This window comes from Homo sapiens, chromosome 8, assembly GCF_000001405.40.
Source record: "Homo sapiens chromosome 8, GRCh38.p14 Primary Assembly".
In the NCBI taxonomy this organism is placed as follows: domain Eukaryota; kingdom Metazoa; phylum Chordata; class Mammalia; order Primates; family Hominidae; genus Homo; species Homo sapiens.
Genome location: NC_000008.11, coordinates 72,514,516 through 72,536,446, shown reverse-complemented (window position 1 = coordinate 72,536,446; position 21,931 = coordinate 72,514,516). Strand labels below are relative to the sequence as shown.

The 21,931-nt window shown below is 34.8% G+C and overlaps 1 long non-coding RNA gene across 1 annotated transcript; it reads left to right on the top strand.

Moving 5' to 3' along the window:
• The first annotated feature begins 3,070 nt into the window (after positions 1–3,070).
• Positions 3,071–20,113, top strand: LOC105375897 (uncharacterized). The gene is made up of 3 exons (XR_929042.3): positions 3,071–3,802; positions 4,833–4,897; positions 18,989–20,113. It is a non-coding gene; the product is annotated as an uncharacterized LOC105375897 (long non-coding RNA).
• The last annotated feature ends 1,818 nt before the right edge of the window (positions 20,114–21,931 follow it).

The window sequence follows — 21,931 nt, the reverse complement described above, 5'->3', positions numbered from 1 at the left end:
ACCCTTGCTTCTCACGGGGGCGCTCTTCATACCCTTCTTTCTTTCCTTTGCCTATCAACTTACCAGCTGGAAAACTATGCCAAGTTACCCCTTGGCGAGGCCGCAGGGTGAACACTTAGACCTGTACCCACTTCCAGGGCTCGGTAAAGACAATGAACTTGAATAATAACACTGAGCCTTACATATTTCTGACCCCAGTGCTCCTTCACAGGCACGAAATAGAGACAGCTGGCACGGTTACAGGGGCTTTCAGGAAAACAAAGTAGCTTAAAACACCTTTTAGAAACGAACGCAGGCCGTGACAAGTCTATTTAAAGCTGGGACTCCTGAGTTTCTATAGACCAAGAAGGATGGCTGTTGAGGAAGTTCCAAGTACACTGTTTTATTTATATTTATTTATTTATTTATTTATTTATTTTTTCCTTGTATCTTCTGTTTATTGAGTGTTTTTTTAAATTTTATTATTATTATACTTTTAAGTTTTAGGGTACATGTGGGTTTGTTACATATGTATACATGTGCCATGTTGGTGTGCTGCACCCATTAACTCGTCATTTAGCATTAGGTATATCTCCTAATGCTATCCCTCCCCCCTCCCCCCACCCCACAACAGTCCCCGGTGTGTGATATTCCCCTTCCTGTGTCCATGTGTTCTCATTGTTCAATTCCCACCTAGGAGTGAGAACATGCGGTGTTTGGTTTTCTGTCCTTGCGATAGTTTGCTGAGAATGATGATTTCCAGTTTCATCCATATCCCTACAAAGGACATGAACTCATCATTTTTTATGGCTGCATAGTATTCCATGGTGTATATGTGCCACATTTTCTTAATCCAGTCTATCATTGTTGGAACCAAGTACACTGTTTTAAATATACTCCATGTCATCCTTGCCTTAGTTTTAGCCCTGATATGCCCTGGAATGCGCTATCCTCTCTAATTCTCTGCACCTTGACTTCCCACCTCGCTATGGGGAGGTGGCCTTACTTTGTACTGAGGGTTTTTGGTTTTGTGGTGGGTTTTTGTTTTGTTTTGGTTGTTGTTGTTGTTTTGAGGTGTCAGATGTTGGGCGGGATATTTAGCATGGAGGTTGGCCCTTCTGATGTTGTCACCCTCCAGCAAGAAACTGCCCTGCCCTTTGCTCTTCTTGGGGTTTCTCAATTATGAACACTAGGAAGAGGACACCCAGATTCCCAAACTCTTATCCCCAACTCTGGCCTGGTCCCAAGCTCCAGCTCTGCATTTCCAGGGACCTGCAGGCAGTCCATTCCCTCCCGCCCATCCTTTCCACCCTCCCACACAGTTTAAATACTTTCTGCCAATTGCTTTTCCTCACGCAAAACCCTGACCATATCATTTCCCTACTCACAAATATTCCCTGGTGTCCCATTTCCTACCAGACAGCATCTGCCTACCTCTGTGCCATTGCATGCGAGTATCTGGGATACCCTTCTCCAGGTCTTACGTCCAAAGCATTACAGTCCTGGAAGAGTCACTTCAAACTCTGCCTCTTCCATGACTTCTCCCTTTTGGTGTCCGTCGCACAATGTCCCAGCAATCTTTTTAAGACATATATCACCTTCCACTTCCTATACCATGTATTTACTGTGTACATTTCTTAACATTTTAAATTCTGGGTTCCTCCAGAAACAATTCCATGTCCCTTTATGGTTTGCATTCTTTACGTCTAACCCAAAGCCACACATGTGAGAGATACCTATTCATCTAACAAAGATTTATTTTGTAGTTTTTATCAGTCCCTCAATATTTGTTAATTGAATGAAATTTACAAAATAGTTTTAGGCTAGAATTCCTCAAATTAATTTTGAGTGTGCCTAAACTTAACATGACTTTTTATAAATTTAGGGGTGCCAAAAATCTTTCTTTAGTAGCTCTGTATCAACATTAGTGATCGCCTCGCTAAGAATTTAATAATTTGACAAATATTTGTTTAAGTTTTTACCTTAAATTTCCATTAGATTTTAGAAATCTGAATCCTTTTGCCTACTATCTAAGTGGTCATTAGTCAAGAGAGTAAATTATCCATTGGGTAAAACACAATGCTGCTATCTCCATTTCTGGGAAGCAGGGTACTAGGAGTAAGTTATCCATCAGCTCTGAGCCCTGTATATGAGCATGCAATGACAAGTAAAAACAATCTTTGGGGGGAAAATAAGTCTAATTTTGCTTCCTAAATGACTCATAGCTCAAATGGATTATAGAGAATCACCCCTGGTATACAAGTTGTTTGGAATAGCAGAGTTCTCCGTATGCACAGCTTGAATTCCGGATGGCTGCAGAGACTCTTGTGTTGATTATCATCATGTGGCTCCACTTCCTTAGTAAATTTGGGTAATTTGGGGTTTTGTTCAGTTGTTTGCCAAAGAAAAAATTTAAATGATCTAGCTGAAAAGTCAGACATGTTTTCACATTGCTCCCTTTAAGTCTTTTGTTTATTGATATTTACGGAACTGTTCCTTTTGCTTGTATTTCAATTTCTCAGAATTACCTTGAGTTATGACTAAATTATATTACAGTAAAGGAGAGAAATATCTGTTTGGGATGTCAAAATGCTTTCTTCATAATGCTTGGTAAAATAAATAACTGTAGTATAAATTTAACCTGAAATAGCCTTATGCGTATCATTAGATACAATGTAGAGGAAGAATGTGTTTCCTCATGTATCATATGCTGGTGTATAAAAATATATATGTATTTGTACACAATACCAAACATAATAGATTCTTGGTATTTTTTGGCTGAATGAAGTATCTGAGCAAAACCAATAAAAAAAAAGATACACCTGCAACAACATGTTTATCACAGCACAATTCACAATTGCAAAGATATGGAGCCAACCTAAGTGCCCATAAACCAATCAGTGGATAAAGCAAATGTGCTATAAATATAACATGGAATACTACTCAGCCATAAAAAAGAATGAAATATTGTCTTTTGCAGTAATTTGGGTGGAGCTGGAGGCCATTTTTCTAAGTGAAGTAACTCAGTAATGGAAAGCAAAATACTGTATGTTCTCACTTATAAGTGGGAGCTAAGCTATGGGTACACAAAGGCATACAGAATGGAATAATGGACATTGGAGACTCAGAAGGGGGAAGGGTAAGAAGGAAGTAAGGAATAGAAAACTACTCATTGGGTACAAAGTGCAGTACTCCGGTGATGGGTGTACTAAAATCTTAGACTTCACCACTATACAATTCATCCGTGTAACCAAAAACCACTTATACTTCTAAAGCTATTAAAGTAAAAAAAAAAATTAAAAAATAACGTGAATCCCATTAAAGGGAGAAACATAAACATATATGTAAATGTGTTGTGAGTGGGTATGTGTGTATATTCTAGAAGGATGTATATTAACAAGCTAAAAGAGTTATCTCTGAGTTGAGAGGCAGGTTTTGTTTTATTTGGTATAAACTGGTTATACAAAAAAGGGTAGATATTAATCTTCAACTATCAGAACCATGAAGACACTACTTTCATTCTTAATCATAAACCACGTATATACACAGAATGGGACTGTACTTTTTAAATTTATTTTTTTATAAGGGCAAATATTACTATGGTACTTATTGTCATACAAGAAAGTGACCACTGAAGGGTACACAGAATTTGTCATATTGTTAAATGTAATATGCCTTCTTTTCTTCTTCTAAATAAAAATATAGGAAAGCTTGAGCAAGTTTGAGCAACTCACAGAATCTTAGCCACTGAAATCCTACACTAGCACATTGTTGTGAAGGTTTGAAAAATAAATGAGCTGTCTGTGTGTTCTTCCTTGAGGAGGTAAGTACTATCTCATTGATTCTTTCATAGTTAGTTGAGATTTGGCTGTCCTTTGATGATTTAAAGTAAGAGATAAGCTCCAGACTGACTGTATTTGTATTTTTTTAACAGTTCTTATTCTGAGTATGAACTTTCTGAAAAATGCCAGATGTTTAAACACGTATTTCTGCCATGTAATAGCATGACTATAGGTATTATGTTTGAATCCACACTTAGACCAATTTGCAGATATCATTAGTGTCTAAGCAGCCTCGTTTGTTCTTAGGAATCCATGAAGCTTAGGGTAAGGGGTTTCTGGGGCCAGTGAACTGGAAATGTTAAAAACATGCCACGTAGAATCTGAAATTTAGCCACATTATTCCAAGACGTAGTGGAACAAGGATTGGATTCCTAGTCAGATTCAAGTCCCATCTCTCTTATGTAATTGTGCTGTATAGTCAAAGATAAATAAAAGGCCTTACTACATGTCAGTCACTGGTCTAAATTCTTTATAGGTATTGGCTAATTTCAGCCATAAAATAGTTATTTAAAGTAGATAATATTGTTGTTCTCCCAGTTAATAAAGGAGGTAACTGAACTAGAGAGAATTTTTGACTCAGGATCATACTTAAATGAATTGGAATTTGACCTAAGGCCATATGACCTTAAAATTTTAGGCTATATTATGCCTACTTCACCCCTCATGGATAACATCTTTCTGCTCTCTCATTACATTGTCTAGAGTTCATGTGGGAAACTATTATATAAAATATTATATAGATTATATTTTATCAATATAAATCTTCATTTATATTATTAATAAATTTATCTTAATATAAATATATTATATAATTATATAAAAATTATATTGATATAAATATAAAAATAATGCTATATTGTATTAATATAATATAATAATATATTAACATAATATAATATATTGCTAATAGATTTGTATTAATATATATTTATATAAATGTATTTATATGATTATACTTATGTAATTATTGTATATTATTATATACAATAATTATTATATTTTTATTTTTAGGTATAAATGTGAGTGTTGCCAAACACAATCTACATAAAGATTGTTGGTTGTAAAGGGTGATGGAGGTAGGTCATGTATCTTTTGTTTTCCCAGCAGGCAGACTGGTGCTGATCCACCCACAGGGCTCACTAGTAGTCTAATGACTTTTGTCTGTAAATTTGATCTGAGATGCCTGGGCACTTGGGGCACAAGGCATATTGCCTTGGACTATGATGAAGGGTTTCAGGCTTACACAGGTAAGATACCTATGTGGATCATAATCCACCCAGTAGTGCTAAACACTTCAAGATTTTGAACGTACCACCAGCACAGTGGAGCAAAAAGCTCTGGGGCCCTTAGAAATAACAAATTTAGGGCCGAGCATGGTGGCTCACACCTGTAATCCCAGTACTTTGGGAGGCTGAGGTGGGGTGATCACGAGGTCAGGAGTTCAAGACCAGCCTGGCCAACATAGTGAAACCCCGTCTCTAGTAAAAATACAAAAATTAGCCAGGCGTGGTGGCAGGTGCCTGTAGTCCCAGCTACTTGGGAGGCTGAGGCAGGAGAATCGCTTGAACCCAGGAGGCAGAGGTTGCAGTGAGCCGAGATCACACCACTGCACTCCAGCCTGCGCGACAAAGCAAGACTATGTCTCAAAAGAAGAAAGAAAGACAGTAAAAGCAAATTTAAAGCACTTCCTATGCTTTGAACAAGAGGAAATGGAATCATCAACAGTAGAGGAGGTGTAACCAGTTACAAGTGAAAGAGGTGCTTTGCAAATACAAGGGCATTATTCCCAGCTCCAGACTTCACATCATTATAAACAAAAAGTGGATATAATGACAGAATATATCCCTACTGGCCAGGCAAGGACCTTGCCTGTCAAAAGCCATAAAAAGCAGGATTAAATTAGCTACCCTCAGTCTTTTCTGAAAAATTTCCATGTGGACACAAGACTCAAAAAATCAATTGAGTTTAAATTGTGGTAACTAGTCCCAATAGCGCTTTTGTTCCCTTCTGGGAATAAAGCATGAGCTGATAATACATTCAGCTGAAACATACTTTCGAAGGTGTCATTAATTCTAAGAATGATGAAAAAGTAATGTTGCTACATTTTTTGGTCTTCCTTGTAGTTGGTACTCTTGTACCTTCAAAACCTTATTTGCAGTATCAAATAGAAATATTGGTCATTCCTAGGATCTATAGCTTGACAATCATGATTTCCCAGAACTAATTAAAGTTATGTTTTAAAGTTTTTTTCTAAATAAAATGTATTTTGGTAACAAGTATAAAAAGTCAGAGTGTTTTATAAGCATTCTAACATTGTATATTCAATAAAATTATATCAAGAACTTAACACAATGATTATTGAAGAACAATTAGTATTAAAGATAAATAGATGTGAAAATTGATAAACTCATATGAGAAGGTATATGAACTCAATTATAAGCACATTGTACTTAAAATACCACTACAAAGACAAAATAATTTTTTTTTCAATAATGCCACCCTACAGGTTGCTTAATTACTACTAACAAATTGCCACTTTATGGACTTGAATACATATACAAATTATGGCACTCATATTCAATATTTGACTTCATATGTTACATATATATGATTTGATGTAAAATATTATCAAAGGGCATTTTAAATGTTTGGTTCTGTTTAATCATCTATTTCTAGTCAATAAAAGACTTGTTTCAACAAACACAGGTATATATTTTAGAACAGAGCAAGTGATTTTGACTGAAATTTAAAAAAACAGAAATGAAAAAAATTTAAAGCAAGACTTGTAAATGACCATTCCTCTCCACCACCACTTCTACTCTAGGCATAGCTAAACAAGGCCAACCAGATTTTAGAATTTGTTATATTTCATATTTGGTTTAGCTAATCACAGTGCTTACAGAGATAATCAGATATGGAAAAGGAGAATCAAACATGGAAATTTAATCTTGCTAAATGAGTCTAATTAGCACAAAACAATCTAATTTGACTTGCTGCCCCTACTTTCAAATAAGTTCCCAAACTGCCCCAGCAATCGATCAATTCATCTGGCACTTTGTGGGTGATATTGGTTTCATTAAAGAAGCAACTCTTCATGAGATTTAAGTTAGCTATGACACATCTTTTCATATTCCTTTCCACCACATAAGAAAGTGAGTGTAATAGAAAACTAACCTCTCCTGAGAACAGCAACAAAAATAAAAAAACACATTCCTGTTGTGGTTAATGCTAATTGGATTGGGGGCTGAAATCTCACTTGCATTAGAGAATTTCTCTTGTTCCTTCTTTCTGTACTTATTCTCAACACCAAAATTAGACCTTGATATGATAACCAGAGGTGTACATCACTACTATCAGGTGAGGTTCCCATCTATGGTACCCAGAGAAAAATGTGTCAATCTTTTATATTGTTTTAAAATTACTGAATGCAGTAGTCATGACAACTCCATTTGATAACAGTTGACGCAAAAGAAATCTAGTGTAATCTCATCACATACTCTAAGTTGCATTAATTAAAAATATTTCTAATAATTGTATTCCTATGAAAAATCTCTGGGGTTCAGCATTTTGCACAAAAATCTGAAGGGTACCATATAGGATATCATGAAATAATTGTCTGGAGAAGAATGTGTTTCTATGTAATACCTAAAATGAAATTTACCTATTAAGAACTACAAGCTCAAGAGACTTCCCAGGCATAAGACTTTCAATACAGTGCCAGGTTATTGGCTTATGTAATGTTCTGTATTGCTTATGGCAATTACCAATAGTTATAGAACTAGAAACTAATGCAAAAAAAATTAATGAAAAAGCAGAGTGGATATATTGAATTAGTTAAATAGCTAATGCCGAAGAAGGAAGAAACACTTTTCTGTCTCTTTACAAACTCTCCAGTTTATTCCCTGAAGCGTGAAATTTGAGTGCCCATAGACAATATTATTGTTTGGCTTTCAGAGCTATAAAATACTCCTGGCATCTCCATTTGAAAAACGTGGCTGCTGACATTTAAATGACTCTGTTAAGATTTGACCTGGAAAATTACAGTTGACGCTCTACACTTTATTACCAGAAGAACGTAGCCACATTAGAAGGAGTTGGAAAGGAGTAATACAAACAATTAAAGAGGAAAATAGGAAGAGGGACATTAAAATTGTACTGTTAGAAAAATGATGATGAAACTGAGATGTAGAAGTCCTATGTCCAAAGAATGATGATGTAAGTGTGAAGATAATATGGAGATTATATTCAATTGTTTAAAATGCATACAATAAAACATAAGATTAAAGAAAATTAAACCTTCTATTTTAAAAAAGATGCATTTTACAATATACAAAAAATTACAAAATACAAAGTATTATTCTTTAGGTGTCAAGTATAGTAAGCCCCTCTTAAAAGAAAACAAAACGAAACAAAATAAAAAGATACTTAGACTTACAGAGGGTAACTGCTCATGATAAGGAGTTTCTTTTGTCATACTCTCAAAGAAAACCCCCAAAACCCCCCAAAATGCTGTTTATTAGAACATTTTTTTCTGATAATGCTCAACAACATAATGAGCAACTGAGATGTGATGCTTTCTTTGATTATTTAAATAATAAGGCACATTAGATAATATATCTTGGGGCCTCTTTTATGTTGAAAATGTATAGTTATATCAGGTTCTATAAGCATTAACATTATTAAATACTTGGACTACCTATTGCTATATCCTGTCATACTTATGTATTTAGAGAATTGAAATTCTAAGTCATGTCAAAATGAAAATTTACTTGGCTATCTCGTAGTAAATGATTTCAGCACAAAGTACTGCATTTTTTTCCTAAATAAATTTGTGGATTTAGCAAGGTTTTTAGTTTTCCTATTTAACACTCCTTCCTCCTCTTCTTCATATGATCACACTTGATGAACAGTTCTATATCTATCAAAGTTAGACTTGCAGTTTTAGTAGCTAATAAATACATACTCAATTCTACCACAAGTTACATTATTCCTTGGAAAGTTGCATGGAAACAGTGAAATGAGGAAAGACAACTAAGTGTTGAATGTGTCTTCCTCTCTGATGTCACTACATTTTTCTCCCTTGGGAACCATTGCCACCCCTAGAACTTTCATCTCTATGCAGACAACTTCCAAAGCCATATTTTCTAACCCTTGAACAATTTTCTAACAATTAGTGTTATGTTTCCAACTGTCTTTTGGATCCTTTCACTGGGATATTATGCCATGATCTCAAATTAATGAGGAAACAGATATAGAAATCCTGAGATAGTCAGAGATATGAAACCCATCACAAGTAGCTAGGTATAGAAATCATTATTAAGAGCACTTCCTCCTTATCACCATGCCTACCCATGATATCACCATCCCCCAGCATCGAAGCTTTGACAGTCATCTTAATTCATAGCCTGCTCCTCCCCACATTGTTACTTACCAAGTCCTGATTTTTCTTTCCCAGTATCTTCTAATCTAGTCTTGCATATGCACAAACATACACACACACACACACACGCACATGCACATACACTGCCTCGTTCCTTGCCTCATACCCACAGTTCCCTCCAATGGAAATTTCCTTCCCATCTCCCCTTCCAAAATGTTTACTGTTTGGTTTAAGAACATTGCAGCTGGATTTAAGAATGATTCCCTGTTGTCTATAGGATAAATCCCCAGTCTGTAGCCGGAGGTTCAAAGGTTTCCATGATTTGACTCTACTCCCATGTTACCACCCTCATTCCCAACACATATTCCTGTAGTCACTATCCGTCAAAGAGACGTGAACTTTCTCAGTTATGTAATTTCAACTACCCCATGTTCTTATCTTGGAATACTCTTTCTTTCCTTCTTCACCAGTCAGAATTCTGAAAAGTCCCACTTAAATCTCATTTACACCCTGAAGCCTTTCTTGGCTGCTTTAGGTAGAAGAAAGTCTCCTAAACTATAACCTATTATCTGCTACTCATCTATTCTAGAAAATGGTAACATTTAGGAATAGACATATTTTTTCCATCATAGATTAGATTTACAATATATATATTAAATACTGTCTCATAATTAATTTTCATAGAGAATTTCAAAGGCCATCTGTTTGTTTAATTAGATGATCAACATCTTAAGAGAAATTTGGTAGATAAATAATTAAAAACCACTAGCTTTGAAGTCACAACCATCTGTATGGCTCAATAAAAACTCAAAACATTACCATGAGAATGGGCAAGTTATTTAGCTTCTCAAAGCCTTGGGATGTTGGTTTGTAAGAAGGAAGAAGATATACCCATCTTGAAACTTCATTTAGGAGAAAATGTGGTATATATACATAACAAAATACTATTCAGCCATTAAAAATTCTAATTTGTAGCAACATGGATGGAACTAGGGGTCATTATGTTAAGTGAAAAAAGCCAGACACAGAAAGACAAATATCACATGTTCTCACTCATATGTAGGAGTTTTAAAAAGTTGATTTCATGGAGGCAGAGTGTAGAATGAATGTTACAAGGGGCTGGGAAGGGTGGGTTGTGAGATAAAGGGAGATTGGTTAATGAGTAAAAACATACAGTTAGATAGAAGGAATAACATTATCTTCAATAGCACAGTCAGGTGACTATAGTTAACAATAATTTATTGAATATTTCAAAAGAGCTAGCAGAGAAGATTTGAAATGTCCCCAACACAAAAATATGATCAGTGTTTGAAGTAATGGTTATCCTAAATACTCCAATTTGATAATTACACATTGTATGCATGTATCAAGTTATCACATGTACTGTATAAGTACGTATTATGTATCAATTTAAAATAACATGTAAAGGTGTCAATCCTGGAAGGCTCTCAATAAGCATGAATTCTTCTTTCTCTTTGTGTTTTCTCAGTAGCTGACTCACAGTGGGGACTTAGTCAAAATAAATTAATAACCCAAATTTTTGTAACAATTTACATTTTTATCATTTCTTAGGAAAAAACTAGCTCAGTGTCACTAGAGCCAAAGCACATATAGAGATTGGAGAGTAATAGAGTTAACAATGAAAGTTCAAACAAGACTGTGGAAAACCTTGATTGTCAAGCTATACACAATTTTACTCACTTACTCTGAAATAAGACATGCTGAAACACTTGAATCAAGAGTCGCCTCTTTTAAATTTTCCCACATTATAATATATGGAAAGCAACCAGCGTAAGTGTTAGACACTTGCAAAAGCATGAAGGTGGTTTCAGAAGGCTGGGCTAACATCCCGGCCTTGACGATGAATAGCTGTGCAACCCTAGGCAAATCCCTTTACCTCACTGAGCCTCTGTTTTCTCATCTATAAAATAGAAGTAATAATTCCATTCTCATGGAATTTATTTGAAGATTAAGTAAGATTAGGTATATAAAATATTATTCATAATATGCAAAGAACCACATGAATGTAAAATATTAAGAATGCCACGTGTCCTGCTTTAGAGATTATAGTATTATTAAAGTTAGATTTGGTGAGATACATCATAGGGTTTGTAAATCTTTACAAAAAATTAAGATGCAGGTCTATGTTTATGGTGGAATGGGAGTTTAACAATAACGTGATGATGGAGTTGACTCCCATTTCAGAGGAGGGCCACAACTACAAAGAAAGTCACAGTACCAAAAGCAGTGGTCCCTGTAAGATGGGCTTATTCAATTGCTATTTGTCCTTTTCTTCTTTTTCTGATCCCAGTGCTGCCAGATTTCAACAGCAGGCTAAAATCCCATAAAACAATAATATAATGTGACTGTTTACTAAATGTGTAAGACAACATTGACTACTGGAAAAAGTAATAGCATTACATCAAGTTAAACTAAATCCAGTAGGCAGAAAATTCAATAGAATGTTGCAAAACAAAAGCATGCATCTTGCTTTGAGCCCTAAAGACCAACAAGGGAATGGTGGTGATGGTCTCCATGTGGAAACATTGCCTTGAGTTTCTGCACTCAGGTGTGAGAACAGCTGACTGCAGTACCATAGTTGACTGTGTTGCTATGTTGCTGGATATAAAGGTAATTAGGCCCCAAATCTAGTATGGCTTTAAGGAGTACAGATAATTCAATTCAAATTCTGAAATCAGCCATATGAAGTTGCTCACAGATTGTAAACAGAATTAAGGTGCAAGTAATAATCATTAACATTGTTTATGTTTCTTGATATCATTTAGGAGGCATTCATCATTGACTTTCTGGTTGCGGAAAAGATTATATTTATTTATCTAGTAATAATAGGTAACATAAAAGCAGTATTGTATAAGCTTATGGATGTGTGGGTTGTAATGTCTATTATATACATAAAGTATTTAGAGGACAACTCAACTATGTTCATATTATTAGTTACTGAAAATGAACTCAGAGCATAAGTACATAAAAAAAGTTTACTCGAAAGTATGGCTCTTACCAATATATTATAATTATTTCTGGTTTGTATTTAAGCCTTCAGCCTTGGTAGTCTTCTCATTTAAAGGAAGAAAATGAAAAATTGAAACACATCATTTTAATTAAAATTCCAGGATCAAAAGATAGTGAGCAGTCTCCCTTGATAAAATCAGTCCCAACAGTGCTTTTGTCTTTACAGTTAATGATTAGTTTCATGGTTTTCCACGCTATTTTTTATATAAGGATCTATCGTCCTTAATTAGGAGGTAGGACTTTAGTATTTCTAAGTTGCAACATAGCATAACAAGAAAAATATATCCACATAAGATTCAAACTCCTTATTGGAAGAGGTATGGAAAATCTTGTCTTAATTGGAGGTATATGGCCAATTGGTTGCAGTGATCTAAAACTCGTGGGGATGACTTATTTTTAAACACCACAACCAATTTTTGGATTTGTTTTGTTTTGTTATATGGAGTCTTGCACTGTTGCCTGGGCTGGAGTGCAGTGGCATGATCTCGGCTCACTGCAACCTCCACCTTCCAGGTTCAAGCGATTCTCCTGCCTCAGCCTCCCAAGTAGTTGGGATTACAGGCACCCACCACCACGCCTGGCTAATTTTTTGTATTTTTAGTAGAGACAGAGTTTCACTATGTTGGCCAGGCTGGTCTCGAATGCCTGACCTCGTGATCCACTCACCTTAGCCTCCCAAAGTGCTGGGATTACAGGTGTGAGCCACCGCGCCAGGTCTATTTTTTTAAATTTTATTTATTAGTACTTTGTGTATGTATTTATTTTTAAATTTTAATTGACAGATAATAATTGTACTTATTCATGGGATACACAGTGATGTTTTGATATATATAATGCACAGTGATCAGCTGCAGGTAATTAGCATATCCATCATCTCAAACATTTATCATTCCTTTGTGTTGGGAATGTCCAGTATCCTCATTCTAGCTATTTAAAACTCTAAAATATATTATTGTTAATTATAGTCATCCTACAGTGTATAGAATAGGGGTCCCCAACCCCCCGGTCCCATACTCATGTGGTTGGGAACTGTGGCCTGTTAGGAATTGGGCTGCACAGCAGGAGGTAAGCTGCAGGCAAGAGAGCATTCCGGCCTGAGCTCTGCCTCCTGTGAGATCAGTCGCGGCCTTAGATTCTCATAGAAGCGTGAACCCTATTGTGAACTGCGCATGCGAGGGATCTAGGTGTGTGCTCCTTATGAGAATCTAACTAAAGCCTCATCATCTGAGGTGGAACAGTTTCATCCCCAAACCACCCCCACCCTCTGCCCCTGTCTGTGGGAAAACTGTCTTCCGTGAAACTGGTCCCAGGTGCCAAAAAAGCTGGGGACCACTAATATAGAACTTTTTCCTCCCATCTAGGTGTAATTTTGTATCTTTTAATAAATCTCAGTCTATCTCTCCCTTCCCTTGCCCTTCCCAGCCTCTGTTCTATTTTTTACTTTTATGAGTTCAACTTTTTTAGCTTCCACAAATGAGTGAGAACATGTGGTGTTTATGTTCCTGGCTTATTTCACTTAACATCCTCCAGTTCCATCCATCTTGCCTTCAGTGACAGAATTTCACTCTTTTTAATGGCGGAATAGTATTCCATTGTGTACATATACCACATTTTCTTTATTCATTCATCTGTTGTTGGACACCTAGGATGATTCCATATTTTGGCTATTGTGAATAGTGTTGCAATAAACATGGGGGCATAGAGGTCTCTTTGATATGATTTTCTTTCCTTTGGATAAATTCCCCGTAGTGGAATTGCTGGATCATATAGTAGTTTTATTTGTAATTTTCTGAGGAACCTTCACACTGTTCTCCATAGCGGTTGTACTAGTTTACATTCCCACCAGCAGTATATAAGAGTTCTCTTTTCTCCGAATTTTTTCCAGCATTTGTTATTTATTTATTTGTTTATTGTCTTTTTAATGATAGGCATCCTAACTGGCTCATTGTGTTTTGATTTGTGTTTGCCTGATGATTAGTGATGCTGAACATTTTTTCATATATTCGTTGGCCATTTGTGTGTCTTCTTTGAGAAATGCCTGTTCAGATAATTTGCTCACTTTTTATATCGGATTGTCTGGGTTTTTTTTTTTTTTTTTTTTGGCAGTTGAGTTGTTTGAGTCCTTGTATACTCTGGATGACAATTGTCTGTCTGATAAGTACTTTATAAATATTTTCTCCCTTTCTGTGGGTTGTCTTTTCACTCTTTTGTTTTCGTTGCTGTGCAGAGGTTTTTAGCTTCATATAATCTCATTTGTTTATTTTTGCTTTTGTTGCCCGTGCTTTTGAGGTCTTACTCATAAATTTTTTTCTTAGACCAATGTTGAAGTGTTTCTCTTATATTTTGTTGTAGTAGTTTCATTAGTCTGGGTCTTACACTTAGATCTTTGACCCATTTTAAGTTGATTTTTGTATAGGGAGGAGTGGGAGTCTAGTTTCATTCTTCTGCTGATGGATATGCAGTTTTCCCAGCACCATTTATTGAAAAGACTGTCTTCCTTAATGAGTGTTCTTGGCATCTTTGTCAAAAATGAGTTGACTGTAGGTATGTGGATTTATTTCTGGGTTCTCTATTCTGTTAGATTGTTTTAAACAGGTAAAGTAACCATAAGTTAAGTTTGAAGCTTTATCCTTTGTTGAAAATATAAGGGAAAAGGTCACTCTGAATTTCTCATGTCTTCAGTAGGTAGGTTTTACTTTAAGAAAACATGCCACATTCCCAGGAACTTCCAAGATTAAAATGAGAAACCACTCTGTCTTCAGATTTTTCACAGGAAAAGTCTTTAGATTTCTGAGTAAAAACTATTTTCAACCTAGAATTTTGACACTTTGCTGAACTATCAATAAAGTCTAAGGGAAAATTAAAAAGAGTTTTAGACTTTTAAGGACTCAAAATATTTTCTTCTCACTCATCACTTTTAAAACATATTCTAAGTAGCTTATCTTATTTTTCCATAATGTTAAAATTTTTACTGTGGTAAAATACACATAACAAAATTTACAATTTTAGCAATTTTTTTTTCTTTTTTTTTGAGATGGTGTCTCTCTTTGTCCCCCAGGCTGGAGTGCAGTGGTGCAATCTCGGCTAAGTGTATGATTTATGTGGTATTAAATACATTTTCATTATTATGCAACCATCCCGTATCCATTCTAAAATTTTTGTATCATGCCAAACAGAAATTTTGTATCCATTAAACAATAACTACCTATTACTACTACCCCCCTGCAGCCCTGGTCACCCCTATTCTACTTTCAGTCTCTATGAATTTCACTATTCTAGATACCTGTTATAAGTGGAATCCTATAATATTTGACCTTTTGTGTTTCACTTATTTCAATTAGCATAATATTTTCAAGGTCTATCCATGTTGTAATATGTATCAAAATTTCATTCCTTTTATTGCCTTCATAATATTCCATTGTATGCTTATGCTGCATTTTGTTTATCCATTCGTCTATCAATGGACATTTAGGGTGTTTCCACTTTTGGCTACTGTGAATAATGCTTATATGAATATTTGTGTGAAAATATCTGTTCTAGTCCCTGCTTCAAATTCTTTTGGGTGTATACCCAGAAATGGAATTGCTGGATCATATGGTAATTCTATGTTTAATTTTTTGAGGAACTTCCATACTGTTTTCCACAGCAGCTACACTATTTTATATTCCCACTAGCAATGCACAAGTGTTCCAATTTCTTCTCATCCTCCCCAACACGTATTAGTTTCTGTTTTGTTTTGTTTTATAATATTATGTTGGTTCAAAAGTAATTGTGGTTTTTGCCATTACTTTTTTAATATATGTATTTTCAGTTCTGGGATACATGTGTAGGACCTGCAGGTTTGTTATGTAGGTATACATGTGCCATGGTGGTTTGCTGGAAAAGTACTATCACATTGTGGTTTTGATTTGCATTTTGGTTGTTTATTTTTTTGTTTTTGAGTCATAGAGGTTTTTTATATTTTCTGGATATTAATCCCTTATCAGCATATGATTTGCAAATATTTTCTCCTATTCTATAGGTTGCCTTTTCAACATCATGATTTTGTCCTTTAACACTAAAGTGTTTTATTTTGATGAAATTTAACTACTGTTTCCTTTTGTTGTCTGTGCTTTTGATATCTTACCTAAGGAATCATTGCCAAATCCAATGGCATGACGATTTCCTCTATTTTTTTTTCTAAGAATTTTATAGGTTTAGCTCTTACATTTAAGACTTTGATATATTGAGTTAATTTTTATATATAGTGTAAGTTAAGGATCCAACTTAATTCTTTAGCATGTGGATGTCCATTTTTCCTAGCACCGTTTGTTGAAAAGACTATCCTTTCCTCATTGAATGGTCTTGAATACCTCATCAAAAATAGTTTGACTATATATGTGAGAGTTTATTTCTGGGCTCCATGTTATATTCCATTGGTCTATATATCTGTCTTTATGATGCTCATCATTTCTTAAAAAGTTACTTAAGTAGGTATTCCAACCAAACTAAGGAAGAAGACAAGATAGGCTTTGGGAGACAGAAGTACCAAACCAGAATAACAATGTATACAATCCCCAAATTATAGTTTTGCATAAGCCTGAAGAGTAACCAGTCCAAATAGGAGCGAGGGGGGAGAGGTTTTCAAATACTAGTCTTAGGGAGAGAAGAGGATTCAATTAATTAGATAGAATGAGGGTTTTGATAAACTTGAGAATATGGTAAAGGCATGTGGTGGAACAGAGAAAAAAATAATCCATTCCAGCCTGACTGTAGAAATGTTTCCTTTGAGTAGCGCAGCAATTGTGCCATTAGATCTTAGAAGAAGAAATGTAATTTCTTTTTCCTTTTTTGAGACAGAGTCTCACTCTGTCACCCAGGCTGGAGTGCAGCAGCACAATCTCGGCTCACTGCGACCTCTGCCTCCCAGGTTCGAGTGATACTTCTGCCTCAGCCTCCCGAGTAGCTGAGAAAAAATGTAATTTTATCACACAACTTGGTTCTGCAGAAAGCAAAATTTACACATTAATAGTACTATAAACTTTGAATTTTTCATTATACTTTCAATTTTAAAAAGTAACCCATAGACAAATCAGGGACTTACTGTATTACAGAAAAGAATGTAAGGGATATTACCTTAACAATATAAAAGATAAGGAATTGGAAAATGGTATTGGAATGAATACCATTCACTCCAAGGAATGAAGTGAAAGCTGGTGCATCTATATTCTGATCACTTACAATGAAGGGAAAGTGAAAACTGTCTATGGTTATTGGACTAGAAAGTGGAAGTTTATGCAAGTTGTTTAAAATTATGTAGGTATCCAATAAAAGAAATAAGAATAGTGAAAAACAACATGGAGGTAAGGAAAAAATAAAGGTGAAATGAGGAGGTATAGATGAGATCAACCCTCACCTATCATAGTAGGAAGTCAGTAGACACTGTAAAAAAACTTGTAAAACCACAAACAACAATAAGTAATGAGCCTTAATGAGCAATTGGGAGATTGTTGCAGCACTCCGAAGGCACTAGAAATGAACATTTTTAAAGGGTTTCCTCTAAAGAGCAAGCAAGTGGGTTGGAAAGAGGAAGCAGCAGGCTTCTTTTCACTACAAGCCCTTCTATTTGATTTTCTAGCCATGTGTATATCTTGTTTTGATAGTGTAAGATAAAATATAAAATGCAATGCCAAATAAGAAAAGAAAATATAAGATCAGATAAGAATTCATAAATCAGTATAATCTGAGGTAATTATTTGATTACAAAACAATATTTGGCTTGCTAAGGAGTCAGTGATATGTCTCTTTAAATAGTGAGGGCTCCATCTGCACTTTACTGTTAGTCCTAAATCATATAAACTACTTGATGAAGAAGGTGTTCAAGCTAAAGTGGTCAAAGAAGGGCAACTAAAGATTCATCTTCAAGCATCTCTGAAATGAAAATGTAAATCTCTGGGTTAAAAGCTTTTCTTTAAAAATTTAATTCATAAATAACTTATCTGTGAAGGTGATTAAAATACTGAGATTATGTCTGAGGCTATAGACAGATTCATTGATCCAGAACTCAAGGATCTGAGTCCTTAACCTATCCTGAAAAACACACCTGAATCAGGATATAAACCACAAAGTTCTTAAAAGACATGAAGCTCATGTTTCAATATTTTACCAAGAGAGATTCTCAGCCCCCTCGTGTAAGTTATATTAATGGCTACTGATGTTAATATATACACACAATCCTAAAAATTTTGTTAACTGATTCCTATGTACAGAGTTTCTTAAGGGAGAGAAAGGGAGTATAATACGAGATCCTTGACTGCATCAAATGACAACTAAAAGTGAGGGAAACAATGTTAAACAAACAAACAAAAAACAATAAAGCAGTCACAAGAGTTTTAGAAAATAGGAACTGGAGGACATTTAATTTGCCTGCAAACTGCCCTATACATCAGAAAGCCCAGAGAGCTAGTGTAACTTTAACATTGCTGTAACTAATGACACATCGCTCCCTGTATGTTGAGGACTCTCACAACTAGATTTCTAACTTGAATGAGTCTTCCTTGCTCCAGACATGTTATTCAACTGTCTGCTGAATGTCTCCAGCTGAATATTCCCCAGGCTCTTCAAATTCTTCACCCTCATCTCTCTTGGGAAGTGGCAACATCTCCTCCTGATTTCCTATCTCAGTGGTCTGATTCCTGGGCCCTAATCTAAACGTTCCACCTGCATGGTTTTATTCACACAGTTTTCTAAACTTGCATTGCCTTTTTCTCTTGCACAGATCTCCAGCTGTGGGGAGACTGCTGAAGCACTCTGAAGGAACTAGAAGCAAGTACCTACTCATTTGCAAGACCCAGCAACGGAAGCATCATATGCTATATTAAGGTTATGCTGTCCTGAGTCCCCAAAAGCAGCTAATTGTGCTCTGTTTAGACAGACATTTCTCCCAGTACCACTAACACTTTGTCACTCAAATTTGCTTATCTCCCTCTCCTGGACTCTTTGAGGATACAATCTGTATCTTAATTGCCTATGACCACTCAGAATCTAACTTAGTCCCAGGCACATACTATCTGTTCCATAAATTTACTGAACAAATGAATGAATTACATAGCAGATAACACATTGATTTTGATAAGAGAAAAAAATACTAACAGGCAATTTTCAGAGGAGAAAACACAAATGCTTAGTAAGCATAGGAAAGATGCTCAAATTTACAAGTTTCAGGAAAATGAAACACACACACACACACACAACACCAAGAAACCAATGATTTAAAGTGTCAAAGGTGGAAAAGATGGATAACTTCGAGTGTTGGCCAGGATGTGTGGAATACTACAGAATTAGTAGGAAAATGAAATATTACTACTGTTCTTGCAAGCAATTTGATAAGTCATTAAAATGTAAAATGTGCATACTCTTTGACCTAGAAACTTCTGGGAATTTATATGGCAGAAGTAAAAGTGCAGCACATCAGGATTAATACACAAGTTTATTTATTACAGAATTGTTTTAGTAGCAGTTTCTCCCTAAACAAACAAAACAAGATGACAACAAACATACAAACAAAAACACTTCTGGAAAACGAAATCCTTATCAATAAAATAATCAGTATATAAAATTATGACATATCTATATTGTGGAAAAATACAGAGAATGAAGTACACCTACGTACAATGATACAGATTAAAATACATGTATATCTTCTTATTCAAGCAAAAGAGAAATCTGGAAAGATAACATTTTCAGAGGAGAGAAGACTGATTTTGCTTCTTATACTTATAAAGAATTTAAATTGTTTTTTAAATGTTTTAAAGTAAATAGCTGTTTAATATGTGGAAAAATACAGAAACTATGACACTTGTCTACCCATCTCTTAAGTATATAAAATGGCAATATTTTGACATATTTTCTTCAGCTCTCTTTTTCAAAAGCGAGTCGTGTCACACAGATAAAGTCATTTCACCCACATCCCTGTTCAATTTCCTCCTCCCACTCTCCCCAGAGGTAACCACTGTCTTGATGTGAGGATGAATTCTTCCTGGGCCTGATTCTATAATTTGCATGTGCATATGTATGTATTCATAAACAATAGAGATCTCTTTTTGTGTGTTCATATAATTGGTTTCATTCTTACCTGTCATTCTGATACTTGTTTTTTGTGCTCAAGGTTTCTTTTCAGCATTATCTATGTTGATGTTATTAATTCATTTGTATTGCCTAAAGTGTTCTATTGTATAAACTTACCACAATTTATTCATTCTGCTATGAATGGAGATGAATGATGCATGTTGTTGTTTATATCTTCTTGTGTGCACATGCCAGAGTTTCTCCAGGTTTTGTAGCTAGAAGTGGAATTGTAGGATCACAGGCCATTTCTTTTGGAAGGTTTTCTCTGTTCCCCACCTTTTAACCCTTTGACTGGTTTGGTATTACAACTGTTTTCTTATTTATTTAGTAATTATTCTTACATTTTTAACATGCATACTTAACTCTAAAGAACTAATATAATCAATAGGCCTGACTTCATCTTGAATAATAAGAGCAACTTGCAACACTTGAATTCAAATTACTGCGCTTCTCTTCTTATCTTCCATGCTGTGGCTGTGAAGTACTTTAATTTAACCTTCTTTTCGAATCATTTCACCCTAAATTAGTCTTTCTTTTTGTTGTTTTTACAGTCAATGTTTATTTAGATTTATGCAGATGTTTTCCAATGCCTTCGTTCACCCGTTTCTTATATCCTCCTCCTTCCTTCCATGTTCAATTTACTTATTTCTAAAACACATCCAGTCATATTTTTAAAAATCATTTACCTTAAAATGTATTTATTCTTGTCTAATTCTTTTTTTTGTTTTTCATATTATATAAAGATATATGTATATTATATATATCTTTGTCTATGTATTAACTATCTATCTATCTATCTATCTGTCTATCTATCTATCTGTCTAATTACTAACTGATAGTTTAGCTACTTTTAAAATTCAAGATGACAGCAATTTTCTCTTGGCAGTTTGAATATATCCCTAGTTTTTAGTCATACAGAAACAGCTATCAGGATAAATATTTCTTCGTTGACAATCTAGCTTTCATCTCTGGGTGATTTTTAATAATTTTCTCATTGTTATCAATGTTCCATATTTTTACTATGATTTTTTTCAAGTGTGAATTTGTTTTTATTTATCCTAATTAGGCACTTTGTTCTTCAATCTGAGGATTTGTCTTAGATAAATTCTGAATTTTTTTTAAATTTATTTTTTAATTTACTTTAAGTTCTGGGATACATGTGCTGAATGTGAAGGTTTGTTATATACAGGTATACATGTGCCATGGTGGTTTGCTGCACCTATCAACCCCATCATCTAGGTTTTAAGCTCTGCATGCATGAAGTATTTGTCCTAATGCTCTAAATTCTAAAAATGTATCAGTCATGATTTCACTTAGCAGTCCTATTCTTTGTACATTCTCCTTCTTAATTATTTCTTGTCTCTTAAGAAGTGTTTCATATTTTCATATATTTTTCTCGTGTATCATTTCACTAAATTTCCTTACATTGATATTCTAGCTCATGAATTCTTTCTTCTACTCTGGCTCATCTGTAGTCTAATTTATTCAATGAGTTATAAATTTCAAATAATTAAATTTTTATTTCTAAGTATTGTTTTTATTATTTAAGAAAAATCTTTTTGAATTTATCTATAATGTCCTGTTTCTGCTATGT